Here is a 19,746-nt window from a genome sequence, read left to right on the forward strand (position 1 = left end):
TTAGATAGTTCAACTAAGTGTGACTGGCATGATAAATAGCTTTATTGAGATATAATTCACATACATACACCATTTAAAGCAAATTCAGTGGTTTTTAGGATTTTCTTTTCTTTTTTTTTTTTCTTGAGACAGAGTCTCACTCTGTCACCCAGGCTGGAGTGCAGTGGCACGATCTCAGCTCACTGCAAGCTCTGCTTCCTGGGTTCACGCCATTCTCCTGCCTCAGCCTCCTGAGCAGCTGGGACTACAGGCGCCCGCCACCACGCCCGGCTAATTTTTTGTATTTTTAGTAGAGACGGGGTTTCACCGTGGTCTGGATCTCCTGACCTCGTGATCTGCCCGCCTCGGCCTCCCAAAGTGCTGGGATTACAGGTGTGAGCCACCGCGCCCAGCTTAGGATTTTCAGAGTTGTACAATCATCATAATAAATGTTAGAGAATTTTTATCATCCCAAAAACATGAAAGTAGGTAGATGTTACTATAATTATTCAAAAAAGTAAGCTGCATAAACCAGTGCCTGTCACTGGGCAGGTAATGTCCTATGTGAGAGGAAAGAATCATTAATGGACTCTATGCCTGGGCTGACGTCAGAGAGATATGGATTCATACCCTACTTCTGCAGTTTACTCACTGTTTGTCCCTGGGCAGGTTCTCATGAGGTGCAGTGAAGATCTAACAAGACCATGGGTATAAGGCACTTAATGTAGTGCCTAACACAAAGTGGATGCTCAGCTGGTTCTCTTCCATTTTCTTCCCCCAGCAAGGGCATAAGGTCCATGAGAAGCTTAGACCATTATGGTTTACTGATGCCTCCTCAGCCAACTCTTAAAACTTTACCTAGAACATAGCAGATGCTCAATAACCACTTGCTGAATGAATAAATGAATTTTCTTACCAAGCTCCTGGGGTTCCCACATGTAAGGATCAACCCCTCCATAGCTGAAAGACTCATATCCTTGGGTCCCTGACTCTGCTCGATCATCCCCTTCTCGTTTCAACAACCTGTCCTTTGCTTTTTTAGCCTTCTGGACAAGACCTTGAAAAATGGAACAAATAATACAAATGAGCCATGAAGAACACCCAGTAAACAGTCAAAAGAAATCTCAAAAAACAAGAGTTGACGAAATAATTATCGTTTGTTTAAAAATGCACCAGAAATATTTAGATCTCAAGTAAAATGCAGGAGCAAGCACACAAACACTATATTACAAATACCACAGAGCAATACACTAGTTAATCAATATTAGCATTAAATTGGTTTAGGCGGCCAACATATGGGCTAAATTACTGCTCATTGCCAAATTTAAGAGCACAATTAAATAAAAGTGCTAAAATCAAATTTGATGAGGAAAACAGGGTGATGGAAGTGTTTTCTTCTTTATCTTAATTGGAGTGGTGGTGAAGTGGGTATATACATTTTTGAAAACTTTTTGAATTGGGCCAGGCGCAGTGGCTCACACCTGTAATCCCACAAGGGAGGCAAATTGCTTGAGTCCAGGAATTCAAGCCAGCCTGGGCAACATGACAAAACCCCATCTCTACTAAAAATACAAAAAACTAGCTGGGTGTTGTGGCATGCACCTGTAGTCCCAGCTACTTGGGAGGCTGAGGTGGGAGAATCACCTGAGCCCAGGAGGTCGAGGCTGCAGTGAGCTGAGATTGTGCCACTGTACTCCAGCCTGGACAACCAGAATGAGACCCTGTCTCAAAAAAAAAAAAAAAAAAAAAAAAAAATTAAAACTATACCTCAGTTAAAATAATGTTTTTTAAAAAACAAGTTCTATAGTACTAATTCATTTACCCCAGAAACTCATGAGTAAATTCTTCTCATTTACCTCCAGGATGGGATTCAGCTAAACCTCCATCCGTGGACTGGTGTTCCCCATAGGCTTAACTGGACACAGAGTTCTTGCTTCCCCACTACTGCCCACGCACTTATTGAATGCATGTGAGAATACTTGCAAAAAGCTTCAAGAAACAGATATAACATCTACAACATAACACAAACAGAACCAGATTGGGTAAGAAGAGAAAATGAACATTTCCTGTATTTAGCCATCGTATGTACCAGGTACAACGCAAAGTGCTTGCAAATACATTATGCCAGTTCATGCTTACAATGTTATAAGGCAGGTGATAGCCCTACTTACAAATGAGGAAACGACATCAAAGACAGGGAAGAACTTGCTTCACCCAAGATCACAGAGCTTACAGGTAACAGCAGGGCTGGAAGTAGACACCTCATGTGCCTGAAATGAGAGCTCCAGCTCTCCCCCGCTAGTCCTGATTCACAAACTATGCCTCTGCAGAACATGGGTTCTGCCACCTGTGCTGGTGCAGAGAACCACCTGTTAAACTGAACAATCAGCTGGTGTGGGGCGGGAAGAATTCTCAGTTCTAAGACGCTCTCTCATGAATGTTCTTTAATCTTGGATGACTGCTATCCCTTTCTTCCACCAGAATCTAGTAGAAAATATCAGACTGAATATAAAATGGTATCATTACTTTTACTTTTTAATTATTTATTTTTTAGAGACAGGGTCTTGCTCTGTCACCCAGGCTGGAGTGCAGTGGCTGATCATAGCTCACTGCAGCCTTGATCTCTTGGGCTCAAGCGATCCTCTCGCCTCAGTCTCTCAAGTAGCTGGGACTATAGGTGTGCGCCACCATGACTAGGTAAATTATTTTATAAAACATTTTTTTGTAGAGATGTTGCCCAGGTTCGCAGGCTGAGGGTGAGATTGATAAGAATACACTTGTCTTTTTTTTTTTTTAAGACGGTCAAGCCAATAAGCAAACTTCCTGATTATTGGTCACTGTGGGACAGCTTTGTCCAAACTGGAAAAATACTAAAACAAAAGGACATCCTTTAAAATGCACTAAAGTGGGTTTTTTTTGTTTGTTTGTTTGTTTTTTTTTGAGACAGAGTTTCACTCTTGTTGCCCAAGCTGGAATGCAATGGCAGCAATCTCAGCTCACTGCAACCTCTGCCTTCCAGGGGTTCAAGGGATGCTCCTGCCTCAGCCTCCCGAGTAGCTGAAATTACAGGCACGTGCCAACACACCCAGCTAATTTTTGTATTTTTTTTAGTAGAGATGGGGTTTCACCACATTGGCCAGGCTGGTCTTAAACTCCTGGCCTCAGATGATCTGCCCACCTCGGCCTCCCAAAGTGCTGGGATTGCAGGCATGAGCCACTGTCCCTGGCCTAAAGCAGTCTTTTCTAGTAACAGGGGAGAGAAAACTGCCTGATGTGAACAAAGGGTCTAGCAAACAGGAATGTGAGTTAGCAAGTAACAATTCATTTTTGCAAACAAGACTAAAGTATCAGGTTAAACAGGCAATCTATACCATTTAACCACTTTTAGGAGATAGAAAAACTGCCTGGCAATGTTCCCAGAAAGGACATAGCCCTTCCAGAGAAGGCCAATTAAAAATAATCCCATATATTTTAAAAAACACTAACAAAGCAAGAAGCCACAGTCAATTTTCAGCTATCTTTTCTTCTACTTACTGAAAATGGGCTAGACTGGAGCTGAACCAGGACTGGGCCCCGAACCCACTAACTTTTTACTAATGACTAATCTATCTTTTCTTTTTTGAACTGCCCCCAAAACCTAATACTAAGGTTCACTCTTTTGGCTTTAACTTTTCACTTGCCCAAAACTAACCATGTCATAACATTTCTAAGAATCAAAAGACCAAATGGAGACGTAATCTGCTTTCTAAAGGGCTTTTCAAAAAACCTTTCATGTCAATCCTTAAAACTTTACTTTCCTGATTCTGAAATGCAGAAAACTGCAACATAATCAAGAATTCCTTTCTAACTAAAGACATGATCATTAATAGTACTAGAGGTAGAGATGTCGGGGGTAAGGCAGGGTGGGAAATAAAGGGAAAAACCAAGAGGATCTTTTCTTTCTTTTTTTTGAGACAGTTTCACTCTGTTGCTCAGGCTAGAATGTAACAGCCTTGATCTCCTGAGCTGAAGCGATCCTCCCACCTCAGCCTCCTGGGTAATTGGGACTACGAGTGCGTGCCACTATGACTGGCTAATTTTTTTAAATGATTTTTTTGTAGAAATGGTCTCGCTATGTTGCCCAGTCTGGTCTCCTGGGCTCAAGCAATCCTCCTGCCTTGGCCTCCCAAAGTACTAGAATTACAGGCATGAGCCACCGCACCCGGCTGAAGTAACTTTATTTTGTTTTTTTGTTTTTGAGTCAGAGTTTCACTCTGCTGCCCAGGCTGGAGTGCAGTGGCATAATCATGGCTCACTGCAGCTTCAACCTTCCGGGCTCAAGGGATCCTTCTGCCTCAGCCTTCCAAGTGGCTAGGACTACAAATGCATGTCATCATGCCCAGCTAATTAAAAAAAATTTTTTTTTATTTTTGGACAGGATCTATGTTGCCCAGGCTGGTATCAAACTCCTAAGCTGAAGCGATCCTCCCGCCATGGCCTCCCAAAGTGCTGGGATTACAGATGTGAGCCACTGTGCCCAGCCAAGGATCCTTTCAAGTTTCTTTCACAAGGCACAAAATTTCTATTCTATTTAGTATTCCTTAAATAGATTCCCATATCTGTATTCTCTAAATAACCTTAAACATTTTTCCTCTTAAAAAAGGGTCACTGTAGGAATCCGGGAACATTCTCTAACCTCTCTACCCACTGGTATCACCAGGTTGAGCAATGGCATTGTATAGGACTTAGTTCAGCTGACACCAAGACTGGAAGCTAGTTGAAAATGATGGAAGCTCTTCGGTTGTCCAAAGGAAACTTACATAATCAGGTTTTTTAGTTTTGTTTTTGCTTCATTTCCCCCAGGAAGCTGCAATGCATGTTGTGATTGGAACACGGGGCCTCTCACCCTCAGTGATGTCACGTGCAAAGGGCAGCACTGGATTTACAGATGACAGAAGACCTACGTTCCAGGCCTAGCTCTGCCAATTCCTGTGTGACCGTGGATAAGTAACTCAACATCTCTTGAGCCTCACTTCACTTACTATCTGTAAAATGAGACCAATCACCTTCTTGCAGAGTTGTTAGGAGAGTCAGATGAAACAATAATGTCTGTGAAAGAAACTCTAAAAACTATAAAGCACAGCATTTTTTTCCCTCCTAATAGTTTTGGCTCTGTTCTATAGCCTCTACAGCCAGAAGCCACCTCATCCACCAAAGCCCTCAGGATTTCAGAAATGTTTGCCTTTGTTGTTTTTGGATAGAAGTTATAACTGTTTATGCTTTTAGAAACTCTTTTTTACTGAACAGAAAAGTGAGATAGAGTGAGACTCTAGGGACAAATATCTGATTACAAAGTGCATATGATTCACCTGTCTGAAAGCTGAAGTCCACTTAGAAATACATGATCATTCCTTTCTTTCTCTCCCAATAAAGACTTTGAATACAACATCCAGAACTCTTTAATCTCAAGGCCTTCAGAAATGCTGCCAGCTGTGAGAAGCAAGTTAGCTGAATAACTACAAAATAAGTTCCAGAGGAGCAGCATCTTTGGCGTGTGTGTGTTTGTGTGTGTGTGTGTCTCTCTCTCTGTTGCCCAGGTGCGAGTGCAGTGGCATGATCATCGCTCACTACAGCCTTGACCTCCCTGGGCTCAAGTGATCCTCCTACCTCAGTCTCCTGAGTAGCTGGGACTACAGGCGTGCACCATCACGCCCGGCTAGTTGTTTTTTTTTTTAATTTTTTTTGTGAGACGGGGTTTCGCCATGTTGCCCAGGCTGGTCTTGAACTCCTGAGCTCAAGTGATCTGCCCACTCTGGCCTCCCAAAGTGCTGCGAATAGAGGCGTGAGCCACTGTGCCCGCCCAGAGGAGCAGCATCTTATCTGGAGGTTAGAATTTGATGTCCAGGAAATACAATAAACATATGTATAGTGAAAAGTACCTTTGAAAAATTCTTTCCACAACTCTCTCAAACCTGAGCTCTTGGAAGCTCAAAAACCAAGGTTTTTAGGTTGTTTTGTTCTTCGACTATGACCTTCCTTTTTCTGGGCTATAGAGGGCAAGATACCAATTGGGGAAGGAAGGATGGTGGGAAGTCTTAAATTTGTGACAGGTAAAATGGGTGCATAATGTGCCTCCATCATCATAGCAAAGGAAAGAAATTCCTCTCCAAACCCTGTTAGGCTGGTGGTTAAAGAACAGTCAAGCCAGATCACAGCAATTACATTTACTAGACTCAAAGTCAGATTGTTTCTCTGAGTGGCTTCAGACAAGTTATCTAATCTCTCTGTGTCTGGTTCGAAATGTGGCTTACAGCCACACAGTTATTGTGAGGATTAAATGAAATTAATAAACAGGGAAACTCTGAAAACGCCTGGCACATGACAAACACTAGTCATCTGTTTGCTACTACTATTATCATATTCCTGTGGCAACACCAAAGCTGATGAGAACTATCCCGTGAGTTAAAGCTCTCAACGACAGCAGGGGATAGGCAAGGTCCTCGCCTCTTACTTTTAATTTGCCCTTTGACATCACGGTCTTCCCCTGAGTGTTCTTCCTCGTAATGTGAGTGAAGCTGATAGAAAGACTGCAGATCCTTCAGGCACAGAGGGCAGAGGAAGCCCTCCCTCACTTCCCCTGGGTCGTCCAGAGAAGCCATGGCAGTGCCGCTCTCAACCCTAGGAAGGCAGGAATCTCATGCCAAGAGTCAGCTTGATTCCTCCCAAGGAACCATGGTTCCCGCAGCATTAGCTTAAGCAGCACACAGATGGTGAGGAAGTGGCTTCATGGCCCTGGATGAGGTTTCCTCTCTGGAGTAGGAGGAGCCCTAAGAAAGAAAAGAAGAAGGGAAAAAAGCCAATTCAGGCAAACTGGTAGCAATTGAGGATTTTCTTCATTCTTTTCACAGTTCAATGGGGTACTTAATGTTTATTCAGTGCAAGTTTGAGAAAACAAACTCTTTCTCAAATCCTTAGACCAAGCAAGCTGCAAAACCTAAAATGTGAAAACATCACTGGAGAACAAAAACTCAATGAAGTGGGAAGCACAGATTCTTGAAATAAGCAAACAATACCTTGGCAATTCTCTTACATTCATTCCAAATGATCCAACTTCATAATTCATATGCCACTTCAGCCACTGGGGGAATGTCTGAAGTACTTATCAACAAGCAGAAGTTTTTACTTGATGCTCTTTACCTTGATTGTTTATTCAACCACATATAGTAAGTTCTTGATACTTGTAAGACACCTGTGTTAGAAATGCAAAGATGAAAAAGATATAGTATCTGCCATAAAAACATACAAAAAATCAAAAATCCTAACATCAGTTAAAGAGAAACAATAGAAACCTACTAGTCAAAAAGAAAAAATCTATTTTATATTTGTAGAGCACTTATCTCTAATGGGCGTACTATATTTTCCTTTTTAAGAGACAGCATCTTGCTCTGTCACCCAGTGAGCTATAATTGCTCACAACAGCCTCGACCTTCTCGGTTCAAGTGATCCTCCTGCCTCAGCCTCCTAAGAAGCTGGGACTACAGGAGTATGCCACCACACCCAGCTAGTTTTTAAATTATTTATAGAGACAGGTTCTTGCTATGTTTCCCAGGCAGGTCTCTAACTCCTGGCCTCAGGCAATCCTCCTGCCTGAGCCCCCCCAAACTGCTGAGATTACAGATGTGAGCCACTGCACCCTGACAGATCTTATAAGCCATTAAGTGACAGTTAAGTAGCAAACCTGATGTTCTCACTGCTTCAAAAATAAAAGGCTGGCCAGGCATGGTGGCTCAAGCCTGTAATCCCAGCACTTTGGGAGGCCAAGGCAGGCGGATCACCTGAGGTCAGGAGTTCGAGACCAGCCTGGCCAATATGGTGAAACCCTATCTCTACTAAAAATACAAAAATTTGCCGGGTGTGGTGGTAGGCGCCTGTAATCCCAGCTAGTGGGGGTACTGAGGCAGGAGAACTGCTTGAACCCAGGAGGCGGAAGTTGCAGTGAGCCGAGATCATGCCATTGCACTCCAGCCTGGGCAACAAGAGCGAAACTCCATCTCAAAAAAGTAAATAAATAAATAAATAAATAAATAAATTGATTTGGGGCCTAAACACTTCAGGGCTTAATAAGTTACATTCTCTTTCTTACTGGCTCATGGCAAAGTCACTTCCAATGTCACCTCATCAAGACACCCAGTCACAAGAGAAATTGAGACAAAACCATTCCACAAAAGCAGAGAAATTTCTCCCCAAGAACCTGGGGATACAAGCCACAGTATATAGTGAGGGGAGATGTGTGACCCTCAGCTTTGGATGGACTGTAGAAGACCACCGAGGAGGGACTGCCTGGTCCTCAAAGCTGAAGGGTGGCAGCAACTCAGAAAATAAACAAATGAGACACCAGGTCCCTATTTTTTCCCTCTAGTTAAGAAACCCAGTGACTTCATAACTTTTCCACTGGAATATAGCAGCCCTAGGTCTGGCCTGTTCCCTCCCCAGCCAGTGGTTCATCTGATGCTGACTCTGACAGCTCCCTTTCTTCCCATGCACTCACCCCTAACGACCACAAATAACACAAAGCCCACCACATCCATGCCACACAACCACCCTTCACGCCTCAGCCCAAACCCAAACCTCACTTCCTCAAAAGAAATGCCTCTTACTCAGAGCATCAGAATGGACTTCTCCTTCACAGCACTCATCTCAATTTATAACCGCAGGTACATACGTGAAGTGACCAAGTAAGACTGTAAAATCTGGGAGGGCACAGACTCTATATGTTTTCCACTTCGCCGTCTCCCCAGGGTTTAGCACAGTACCTGGCACACACAATGAAGCAGCACAATAAAGCTCCATGAATGAACGAAGAAATGAATGAACTCCAAAATCATATAACTAAGCATACACCATAAAGAAATCTAACACAACCACCGAATTGGACCCCACAACCATAACTGAACACATAAGCAAGCCCCTCGCACTCTAAATCACGTAAAAAGTAAAAAAAATAAAAATAAAAAAAATAAATATAGCTACATGTTCTGCAGCCGTACATCCAGCATGAATGTCACCCCGCCACATGCCGCATCGACGACACATCCCACAGCCGCACTCAACCCGGCCTCACGATCGCAACCACAACCCACATAACTAACATGATTATACACACATCGCATGACCACACACAACACGAACGACTCAATCCCGTGAAGCAGACATGACAACGTCACACATCGCACAGACACCACACAAAACACTCCGAACATCTCCACACGAACTCAGAATACAAACGCTTCAGCTTTACACAACCAGAGAATCAAACACAACCGCTCGGGAGACAAGCACCCACCCACTCCACCCACAGCTGCACAACCAAACCCAAGTGTATACGCCCCGCGTAACCGCACAACCACACAGAGCCCAATCATCAAAGGCACACACAAGCGAAACGCACGGCCTGAAAGCCCCATCTCCCACCTCTCACGTCACACCCACCACAACCACACACGGCCCGCCCGTCTCCGTTCTGGAGGAGTCGTGTCCCCGCCCCCCAGACTGGGCCTGACCCTCTGTATGTACCCTGCCGGGCTCCTGCGGGCACCCAGGTTTGTCCCCCCCTTCAGGCCCGGGCTCTGGGCCTCCACCGTCCGTCACTCAGCCGCAGCCGCCATCTCCATCGGTCGCTCGGAACTCGGCAGGTGCGCCTGCGGCGGCGACGAAACCGGAAGACAAGCTGGTAGACGCCTGTCGAGCGCCGAGTCTTCGAGGGCGCGAAAAGGGCGGATACGGATTCGAATAGTGGAGGGCGGGCCGGCGGCTTCTGCGCAGGCGCTTTCCGAACGAGGGAGGGGATGGTGGGGAGCGGAGAGAAAGTGGGGCTCGGTAATTTTGTGCGGTTCTTACGTCCCGAATTCGAACTAATAGCGCGTCAAAGCCAGCCAATGGCTCTGCACCGCCTTGTACAGGTGGGAAAGCTGAGACCAGTAGATCTTTGGCTCTTGACCAAAGTGCACAAAGAATAAGGCAGCCAAGGAATCAAAGTTCCTGAGAGCTAGAGACAGAAAAAATATTCAGGGGACGTGGAGGCGATGGAAAGTCCAAGAATAGAACCACATGAGAGTGGAGACTTGGTATGAGAAGGTGTATCCCGGGGTGTACAGCATGGCCAAGCCTGTGGAAAAGATGGCATTTTCAAAAGGCAGGACGATTGATCAGCCAGGACCTACCCCGTGCCTACGCTGTGCTGGGTACCACGGGGTATAGAGAGGCAAAACCTCATCCCAGTCCCGGAGACCTATTTGCTTTGTGCCCTGCACACGTTCTGGACCTTAGCAATAGCCAGCCTCTAGGAGCAAGAGCTGCAGAGAACGATGGGACGATGGGACGATCCTGGGCCTCCGTTTACATCCCTGCAGTGTTACTGGCCCCCTTTTACAGAAGTAAAATGGGGATGATAATGATAGTCTCCGCTTCACAGTGTTGTGAAGATTGAGGTAATTGCACGGTAGGTAGGTAGGTAGGAGGGTGTCCTGCATATTGGCTTTGCCCATCTCACTTTCCCTGCCTCCAAAAAGTCTTCCCCACCTGGTCTCTGGACAGGAGCACTGAGCCTCCATCACCTTCCATTTAAGGACATGGGGCTCCGGACTTGGAGAGCATTGAGTTTTTGGAAAGCAATCACCAGTGAAAGGGCAGTGAACTAGGGGTCTAGAGATCTGGGTTCTAGCCCTGGCTGTACGTTACTTTGTGGCTTTGAGCAGGTCCTTTCCCCTTTCTTCGCCTGAGTTCTCTCATCTGTACAAAAGAAATTGGCTCCAGTGACTTAGCCTTTTCTCTCAATCTGATGGCCAATTTTTTTTTAACGTTACAACATCTGCAGGAGCGAATAATGACTTCCCTTTGTTTACTGATGGAGACAAGGAAGAGGCTTCCTAACCTGTCAGAAGCAAAGCAACATGCCAAGCTCCCCGTCTCCATCACTAGCTTCTGCCTTAGGTCCCAAAAGCCAGGACTTTGGGAGTAAAACCACCCTTTTGAAAGTCTGAAGCCACCGAGGTCCCAAAACGAGCCACACTTACAGGCAGGACTATGTTTTGGGTAGGGCAATGAACGTTTATTAAACCATCATGATTTTTGCTTGTCATTTTATCATTTACAAAAAACATATTTGGTCGGGCGCGGTGGCTCACGCCTGTAATCCCAGCACTTTGGGAGGCCGAGGTGGGCAGATAACTTGAGGTCAGGAGTTCAAGACCAGCCTGGCCAACATGGTGAAACTCTGTCTCTACCAAACATATAAAACATTAGTCGAGTGTGGTGTCGCTCGCCTGTAATCCCAGCTACTCAGGAGGTTGAGGCAGAAGAATTGCTTGAACCCAGGAGGCAGAGTTTGCAGGGAGCCAAGATTGTCCCACTGCACTCCAGCCTGGGCAACAAAGTGAAACTCCACCTCAAAAAAAAAAAAAAAAAAGAAAGAAAAGAAAAGAAAAAAATATCATATTCATCATTTCATTTGCTCAAAAAAGCAATAGCTATGTGGCCTCAACTTGTAAGTTAATTCTGGAAATCACAGTGGATTGGGCACTGCTCTTGATATTGTTTCTTTTTTTTCTTTTTTCTTTTTTTTTTTTTTTTTTTTTTGAGGCAGAGTCTCACTCTGTCCCCCAGGCTGGAGTGCAGTGGCGTGATCTCAGCTCACTGCAAGCTCCGCCTCCCAGGTTTATGCCATTCTCCTGCCTCAGCCTCCCGAGTAGCTGGGACTACAGGCACCCGCCACCACGCCCGGCTAATTTTTTGTATTTTTAGTAGGGACAGGGTTTCACTGTGTTAGCCAGGATGGTCTCAATCTCCTGACCTCGTGATCCATCCGCCTCGGCCTCCCAAAGTGCTCGGATTACAGGCGTGAGCCACCGCGCCTGGCCGATACTGTTAATGATAATGACAAAGACCTTCCTATATGCTTCACACTTCATCAAAAGTACTTTCTTTAATCCTTTAGGCAACTCTATGACTATTTCCAGTTTGATAATAATAAAAATGACTAATATTTACTGAGGGATTTGCACATGCCAGACACTGTTCTATGTGCTTTCCATATCTTAACTCATTTCATTCTCACACAACCCAATGATGTACAAACTATACAAAATGTAATAATATTCCCATTCTATAGAAGGGAAGCTGAGGCACAGAGAGGTTAGGTGACTTGCCCAGGGTCACCAGCTGGTGAGCCTTGAACCCAGAGTCACCTTGCCTTGAGGCTTTCACAATCCCCACTTTTCCTTCCTCTGTGAAGTGCTGATAGACTTCCTGTACCTCCTCAGCTTCCTCCAGGCACCACTCCTGTACTGGGCATAGAGAGGGGATGTAAGCCAATTAGTTCAAAACAGAAATGTGCACGTGCACACAGATGCTCTGGTGTGAGAGGAGAGACCAGCAGAGTCCCCTGCAGGAATTCACGAAAGGTTTCCCAGAAGCGGGCAGCACGTGAGCATGGTCCTTGGGTAGAAACGATTGGGAAGGGCCTTCCAGGCCAGGGGAACAGCATATGCAAAGGCATAGTTATGGAGAAGAACATGAGTCCTTTGAGAAACTCACAGAAAAGTTCATTCACACATAGAGGGATGATATCAAGCCACTCCTCCTTGTTCCCAAAACTGTAGGCAGCCACTTCTAGTGAGAGAATCGTGGACAGCTGGGTCTCTTCACCCTTGCCCCCTGCCTTAGGGTTCTCTATCTTTCTGTCTCTCTATCCCTCTCTCTATCTCACTCTCTCACTTTCTCTTGGCCCTTATTTGTCTAAGTTTATCCCAAGCAGCACAAGACATCTTGGCACCACATTAAAATCCTTGGGCAAGAAAATAAATTATGATATGGATAACATAAACGTCATTGGGGAAGGTCTGGGCACATCATGTAACTTCCCGAAGGGCCAACTGCCCTCCAGGCTGGCCTGGCCCCAGCTCCCAGGCCTCTGCCAGCTGCTGTGGTCTGAGCCAGCGGGTTGAGGGCATTGAGGTTGGCACACCCTGTCTGCTGGCACAGAGAAATGAGGGTGATGACAGACAGCCTGGCAGAGCCTTGCCTGGAGGATGGAGGGAGGGTGTGCTGGGCTGGGCAGTGTCTGAGGGAAGCAGGTGGCAGTTGCTGTGGCCCTGTCAGGAAGGAAGCAGGGAATGAAGAAGGAAGAGAAAACGAGGGGAGAAAGGAAGAGGAAGAGGGAGGGAAAGAATGACAAGAAAAAAGCGAAGATGGAGCAAAAGTCGACCTGGGTTTGAATCCCAGCCCTGCCACCTGTGGCCACGTGAACCTTGGGCGGGTCACTTAAATTCTCTGAGCTTCAGTTTCCTTATCTGTGAAATGAGATAATTATAGTACTCACCTCTTAGGTTGGAGGGTTAAATAGCTTAATATTTGGAAAGTGTTAGAACAGCGCCTGGCACAGGGGAAGGACTATGTAAATGTTTGTTAAATAAAGAAAAAGGAAGAGCAGTGTAATTCACATGCCTTGGCTGTTGTGTTGCGCTGAGTCAGACAATAGCATGAGGGTGTGAGGATCCAATCTGGTGTCATAGAAATAGCTTTGAGAGTCATGGCCTTGCCAGATGGGATGTCTCCAAAAAGAACTCAGAATAGAATCACATAGCAACTAGATTCATTAAATCCAATAGTGGGTGGGGGAACAGCCTCAGCAAACCTGAAAAGCAGGAAACATGGAATTGACTTGGGAGATGTGAGCTTCAAAGCCAATCAGTTTGCAGGTAGCGGGCTGGCATTGTCTTTGACAAAGCAGGACCACTCCAAGCCCATTGGGGCCTGTGGCAAATGGGAAAGAGGCACCACTCCCTTCTCTCCCATGGACAAAACCTTGTGCTGGCACTCAAGCCCTGCATTTGGCAAATGGGGCACATACTGGATTTCAGCATCCACTTACCCCCACCCCCACCCTACTCCCAACTATGCTGCATACAACCTGCACGGTGGCCCTAAGTGCAGGGAGGAGGAGAATCAAGAGCACAGCATGGTCCTCAGGTCACGAGAAAAAGTCACGCTGGTTGTCTGCAGCTTCAGATCTCATTCCCTGACTTACATCTTCAGAGATACGCACCTTCAGCCAGTTGAGAAGTTAACCTCAATTTTAACCCAGATTTGAAACAATCTGTGTGTATATGGTATTTTAAGTATTTGAGGGATTTAAGAGTGTTTGGCATATTAGAGCATCTAACACATTCATCTCATGACTCCAGTTTAAAATCTGTAACTCAACAAATGACTTAGGCTTGTGATTTTAAGTTCATTCAACAAACTATGTATTAAGCACCTACCTACATGAGTGCCTGAGATAAACAAAACAGACATTGATCCTTGCCCTCAGGGAGATGACATTCGCATGGAGAGACACAGATCCTAAACAATTAATATACTAAATAAGTATGTTATATAGCACATTAGAAAATGGTAAGTACTATAGAAAAAAAAAACAGAGTAAAGAGAACAAGGAGTGCCAGGTTGCAGAACTTATAGCGTGGTCAGGGTAGGCCTCATTGAGAAGGCAACATTTGAGAAAAGACTTGAAGAAAGTGAGCCATGTGGATCCCTTGGGGAAGAGCATTCCAGGCAGAGGGAACAGCCACTGAAAAGTCCTCATGTGGAAGTGTGCAGGGCAGTTTGCAGAAAAAGTAATGAGGCCAACACCCATGTCCATAGCAGTATTATTCACAATAGCCAAACGATAGAGACACCTCAAATGTCCATCAACATGTCAACATAGAATAATCAAAAGAGTCAGCATGCGGTCTTTTTGTTGTTGTTGTTGTTTTTGTTTGTTTGTTTTTAGAGACAGGGTCTCACTCTGTCACTCAGGCTGGAGTGCAGTGGTGCAATCGTCCCACCTTAGCTTCCTGAGTAGCTGGGACTACAGATATGCACCCCCACACCTAGCTAATGAAGAAAAAATTTTAGAGGTGAGGTCTTGCTATGTCACTAGCTCAGAATGTAGCTTAAAGAGAGTTTAGTCAAATGCAAAGGTTGAGGACTGCACCCTGGGACTGCACACTTCCAAGTTGCCTTGGCAAATGCTCTGGAGAACAAACAAGAGGCTCAAGTTTTTAATGAGAAAAAGGATGAGGCTGGGCACAGTGGCTCATGCCTGTAATCCCAACTACTTGGGAGGCTGAGGCAGAAGGATTGCTTGCGGCCAGGAGTTTGAGACCAGCCTTGGCAATATAATGAAACCCCATTTCTAAAAAAAAAAAAAAAAAAAAAAAAATTGAGTTAGAAAATTAGCTGCGGCTGGGCATGGTGGCTCACAGCTGTAATCCCAGGACTTTGGGAGGCTGAGATGGGTGGATCACCTGAGGTCAGGAGTTCGAGACCAGCCTGGCCAACATGGCAAAACCCCATCTCTACTAAGATACAAAAATTAGCCAGGCGTGGTGGCTCATGCCTGTAATCCCAGCTACTGGGGAGGCTGAGGCAGGAGACTCATTTGAACCTGGGAGGCAGAGGCTGCAGTGAGTCGAGATCATGCCACTGCACTCCAGCCTGGGCAACACAGCCGAGACTCTGTCTCAAAAAAAAAAATAGAAAATTAGCTGGGCATGGAGATGTGCACCTGTAGTCCCAGCTACTTGGGAGGCTGAGGCAGGAGGATCACTTGAGCCCAGGTGTTTATTATTATTATTATTATTATTTTTTGAGACAGAGTTTTCGCTCTTGTTGCCCAGGCTGGAATGCAATGGCATGATCTCGGCTCACTGCAACCTCCACCTCCCAGGTTCAAGCAATTCTCCTGCCTCAGCCTCCCAAGTAGCTGGGATTACATGCATGTGCCACCACACCCAGCTAATTTTTTAGTATTTTTAGTAGAGACGGGGTTTCACCATGTTGGTCAGGTTGGTCTTGAACTCCCGACCTCAGGTGATCCTCCCGTCTTGGCCTCCCAAACTGTTGGGATTACAGGTGTGAACCACTGTGCCCGGCCAAGCCCAGGTGTTTGAGGTTACAGTGAACTATGATCATGCTATTACAGTCCAACCTGGGCAACAGACTGAAACCCTGTCTCAAAAAAGAGAGAGAGAGAAAAAGGACAAATCCGGAGAGCTTACAATTACAGAAGTTGTTCATCAGGAATTCTCATTGGTTTACAGAAATAACATTGGCTAATGATTGGCTACATATTGTTGAACTATAGGGTGTATGGCATTTGATGGCTACTTGGTGTCAGAGCTGGCACAGCCAAGTGGGTTCAAGAGGTAATTATTTAGCTCAAGGAGGAGTGAGATGCGACTGCTGTTACATTTTATTTTTTAATTTTTATTTATTTATTTGAGACAGGGTCTCACTCTGTTGCCCATGCTGGAGTGCAGTGGCGTGATCATGGTTCACTGAAGCCTCGACATCCTGGGCTCAGGTGATCTTCCCACCTCAGCCTCCCGAGTAGCTGGGACTACAGGCGCCTACCACCATGCCTGGCTAATTTGTCCATTTTTTGTAGAGATAGGGTTTCACCACGTTGCCCGGTTGGTCTCGAACTCCTGAGCTCAAGCAATCTGCCCACCTCAGCCTCCCAAAGTGCTAGGATTACAGGCGTGAGCCACCGAACCCAGTCTGCTGTTCCATTTAATTTAATTTAATTTAATTTAATTTAATTTTTTTTTTTTTGAGACGGAATCTCACTCTGTCGCCCAGGCTGGAGTGCAGTGGCACGATCTCAGCTCACTGCAACCTCCACCTCCCAGGTTCAAGTGATTCTCATGCCTCAGCCTCCTGAGTAGCTGGGATCACAGGTGTGCATCACCATGCCTGGCTAATTTTCGTATTTTTAGTAGAGATGGGGTTTCACCATACTGGCCAGGCTGGTCTTGAGCTCCTGACCTCAAGTGATCCGCCCGCCTCGGCCTCCCAAAGTGCTGGGATTACAGGTGTGTGCCACCGTGCCCGGCCTGCTGTTACAGTTTAAATACCTTTCTGGGCCTGATAATTTAAAGTGGTTAGCATTTCTCAGAAAAAGGTTTTCTTTCTCAAACAGATGAATGAATAAACAAAGCATGGTCTATGCTTACAATAAAATATCATTCAACCATAAAAAGGAAATGAATTTTGATATCTGATACAACATGGATGGATCTTTTTCATTACATTTAGTGAAATAAGTCAGACACAGGAGGACAAATACTATATGAGTCCACTTATGGTGAGATATCCAGAATAGTCAAATTCATAGAGACAGACAATAAAATAAAGGCTACCGGGGTGAGGGGAGGGAGAGTTATTGTTTAAAGGGTACGGAGTTTTTATAAGGGATGATGAACAAGTTTTGAGTATAGATAGTGGAGCTGGTTACACAACATTGTGACTGTATTTAATGCCACTGAATTGTGCACTTACAAATGATTAAAATGATAAATACTGTGTTGTGTATGTTTTACCACAATAAGCAAAGTAATTTCTGGGCGAGATGTCAAAGCCCTGGCAATGGTAAGTGATTGGCTCGCAGGTAGTTAAGAAGAGTTTGCCCACAACAGTATAGGATTGAAAGGGAAAGTTTTATAAGATAGAAAGAACCCTGCATCAGAGTGTGGCCGGCGCCTCAGCAAGAGAGGACTGTGTGAACCACAGTGGATTTTCCTCAGGGGCATTTATGGACCTTAAAGCGGGAGCTTAAGGGTAATTTGGACCATGTTAGCCACATCGGTCATAATAAATGGAGGCCGAGGCAGGAGAATCACTTGAACCCGGGAGACGGAGTTTGCAGTGAGCCGAGGTCGTGCCATTGCACTCCAGCCTGGGCGACAGGAGCAAAACTCCGTCTCAAAAAAAAAAAAAAAAAAGTTACACTTGTAGATATTTTGGTGCTTTGATGTCAGCAAGGGTTGCACAATGAGTTTTGACATGCATGCATTCGGAGATGTATAGAAATTCTGGTTTCTTATACATTTTGGGGAAGGAAGCAGGGTACTAGATACCAGCTTTAGATCATAGGGAAATCGAATTACTTCTGAATTCCTCAGATGAGGAGTGTCGCCTCTAGATGGTCTGCTTTGTGGCCACCAGGTGATCTTTGCTCTCCTCAGTGATGAGGCCAGTGTGGCTGGAGCAGAGGAAGTGAGGGAGAGAGTTTTGGGAAATCAGGTGTGAGAGCCCAAGGGTGAGGGGAGGTCATAGCCATTGAAGGGACTTTGGCCTTTACTATGAGTGAGGTGGGAGCTGGGGGAAGTGCTGAGTAGGGGAGGGACAGGATGTGACCTCTGACTGCTGGATTGGGAAGAGACACGGAGGTCGGAAATGCCAAGTGTGCATGGCACATAGTAAACCCTTCAGAAATTCAGGTGACAGGATGCATGTAGAGTCCCTGGAAGGAAACACCAACTGTAACAGCGGGCACCTCTGGGGAGGGAAACTGGAATGGTGGGGAGACTGACTTTCCACAACGTAGGCTTTTTTCCTATGATTTGAATGGCTTTTTTCCTCTATATGTATTTTTCTTAAAAATATCTAAATCAAAAAAATTAAGGAAAAGGAAAATAGGAGAAGACTGAAAAATCAGCAGAAAGCAAAACTGCGGATGGGGTCCCCAAGCCACCCCTTTCTCCAAAGTTGTTTCCCCTTCATGCACCTGTTTGCTCTTCTGCGATAAGGGAGGCACTTGACAGGCTCAAAAGCCTCATGCCCAGGGAAGTCGTTTGCCCCAACTCGTAGCCTCAAATGAACCCCCACTTTGCTCACAGTTGGGGGTGGGCCCCCTCCAGTTCTAGCTTGTGGGCTGTCTAGCAGGTCAGTGAGGGTTGTAAGTAGCCTTGCCAGCCACCAGGGGGCGGCATCTGGCCACTTTAGAACCTTGCAGCGAACCCGGGTGTCCAAAGCCAACGTGGTTCTGCTGGTTTATCTCCAATGCCTTCCAAGGCTCCCTCCTGCTGACCACCGGAGGAGGCTGAGCATCCCAGCAGCCTGGGGTGGGAGACTCAGTCCCTCTACCACGCCTCTGCACTGCTGCCCCTTTCCTCTTTTAGGGGCTCGCCAAGTAGCTGATAACAGGGAGCCAGGATGCACAACACGCTGTCATGTTCTGGACCAGCCTTGGACCTTCCACAGAGCCCTGGGTTCTTTTATCTCTGGGGCCCCACCCCTAAACCTGCTCTTCCCACAGCTCTTCCATCCATGTGCTCTGGCCAAGAACCGTGGAGTCATCCTTGACTTCTTTCTCTCACATCCCACTTTTTTTTTTTTTTTGAGACAGGGTCTGACTCTGTCACCCAGGCTGGAGTGCAGTGGCGCGATCTCGGCTCACCACAACCTCTGCCTCCCAGGCTCAAGTCATCCTCCCACCTCAGCCTCCCGAGTAGCTGGGACCACAGGCACTCACCACCACGCCCGGCTAATTTTCGTATTTTTTTGGAGAGAGACAGGGTCTCACTTTGTTGGCTCAGGCTGGTATCAAACTCCTGAGCTTAAGCAATCCACCCACTTCGGCCTCCCAAAGGGCTGGGATTACACGTGTGAGCCACTGTGCCCGGCCTCACATCCCACTTCCAACCCATCAGCAAGTTCTGTCAGCTTTTACTTTGGAATGGATCTAGAATATGCGGAATCTAGAATACACTTCTCACCACCTCACTGCCTATATACAGTGCCCTTGACATAAGTAACTCCATGTTAGAAAGATTCCATCTTACATTTCAAAAGGCATCATGCCAACAGGGACCAGATGTCTGCCTCATCAACAGAAACTGCACCCAATCAGGCAAGGGTATGGCCACACACACTTTACTGTCAGCTTTCACCAGAAGACTCAAG

The 19,746-nt window shown here is 45.8% G+C and overlaps 1 protein-coding gene across 9 annotated transcripts in view, besides 5 other annotated features; it reads right to left on the bottom strand.

Annotated features, from left to right (window-relative positions):
* The window catches only part of RBSN (rabenosyn, RAB effector), a 29,076-nt gene extending 19,431 nt beyond the window's left edge, over positions 1-9,645 (bottom strand). Inside the window, exons 1-5 of one of the 9 annotated variants that reach the window (XM_005265384.5) lie at positions 9,532-9,645; positions 8,616-8,771; positions 7,049-7,207; positions 6,470-6,785; positions 896-1,036 (exon numbers count right to left, since the gene is read on the bottom strand). In XM_005265384.5, the coding sequence (XP_005265441.1) occupies positions 896-1,036; positions 6,470-6,617 (289 nt within the window). In that variant the 5' untranslated portion in view covers positions 6,618-6,785; positions 7,049-7,207; positions 8,616-8,771; positions 9,532-9,645. Of the gene's footprint in view, positions 1-631; positions 1,037-1,835; positions 1,991-6,167; positions 6,786-7,031; positions 7,208-8,615; positions 8,772-9,518 lie in introns of those variants that run through there. The other 8 variants (NM_022340.4, XM_047448707.1, XM_047448706.1 and 5 more) reach the window with 8 other exon arrangements.
* Positions 8,433-8,512: a silencer, noted in NCBI's record as "silent region_14100". NCBI's record gives its function as "represses an Ori minimal core promoter by ATAC-STARR-seq in GM12878 lymphoblastoid cells {active_cell/tissue: GM12878}" and the evidence as "EXISTENCE:reporter gene assay evidence [ECO:0000049][PMID:35858748]".
* Positions 8,850-9,714: an enhancer, noted in NCBI's record as "H3K27ac hESC enhancer chr3:15139860-15140724 (GRCh37/hg19 assembly coordinates)". NCBI's record gives its function as "activates a minimal SCP1, AML or CMV promoter by ChIP-STARR-seq in primed H9 embryonic stem cells {active_cell/tissue: H9 hESC(primed)}" and the evidence as "EXISTENCE:reporter gene assay evidence [ECO:0000049][PMID:30033119]".
* Positions 8,850-9,732: a biological region, named in NCBI's record as "H3K27ac hESC enhancer GRCh37_chr3:15139860-15140724".
* Positions 9,603-9,732: an enhancer, noted in NCBI's record as "active region_19526". NCBI's record gives its function as "activates an Ori minimal core promoter by ATAC-STARR-seq in GM12878 lymphoblastoid cells {active_cell/tissue: GM12878}" and the evidence as "EXISTENCE:reporter gene assay evidence [ECO:0000049][PMID:35858748]".
* Positions 18,803-19,302: an enhancer, noted in NCBI's record as "H3K4me1 hESC enhancer chr3:15149813-15150312 (GRCh37/hg19 assembly coordinates)". NCBI's record gives its function as "activates a minimal SCP1, AML or CMV promoter by ChIP-STARR-seq in naive H9 embryonic stem cells {active_cell/tissue: H9 hESC(naive)}" and the evidence as "EXISTENCE:reporter gene assay evidence [ECO:0000049][PMID:30033119]".

Source organism: Homo sapiens, chromosome 3 (assembly GCF_000001405.40).
Source record: "Homo sapiens chromosome 3, GRCh38.p14 Primary Assembly".
In the NCBI taxonomy this organism is placed as follows: domain Eukaryota; kingdom Metazoa; phylum Chordata; class Mammalia; order Primates; family Hominidae; genus Homo; species Homo sapiens.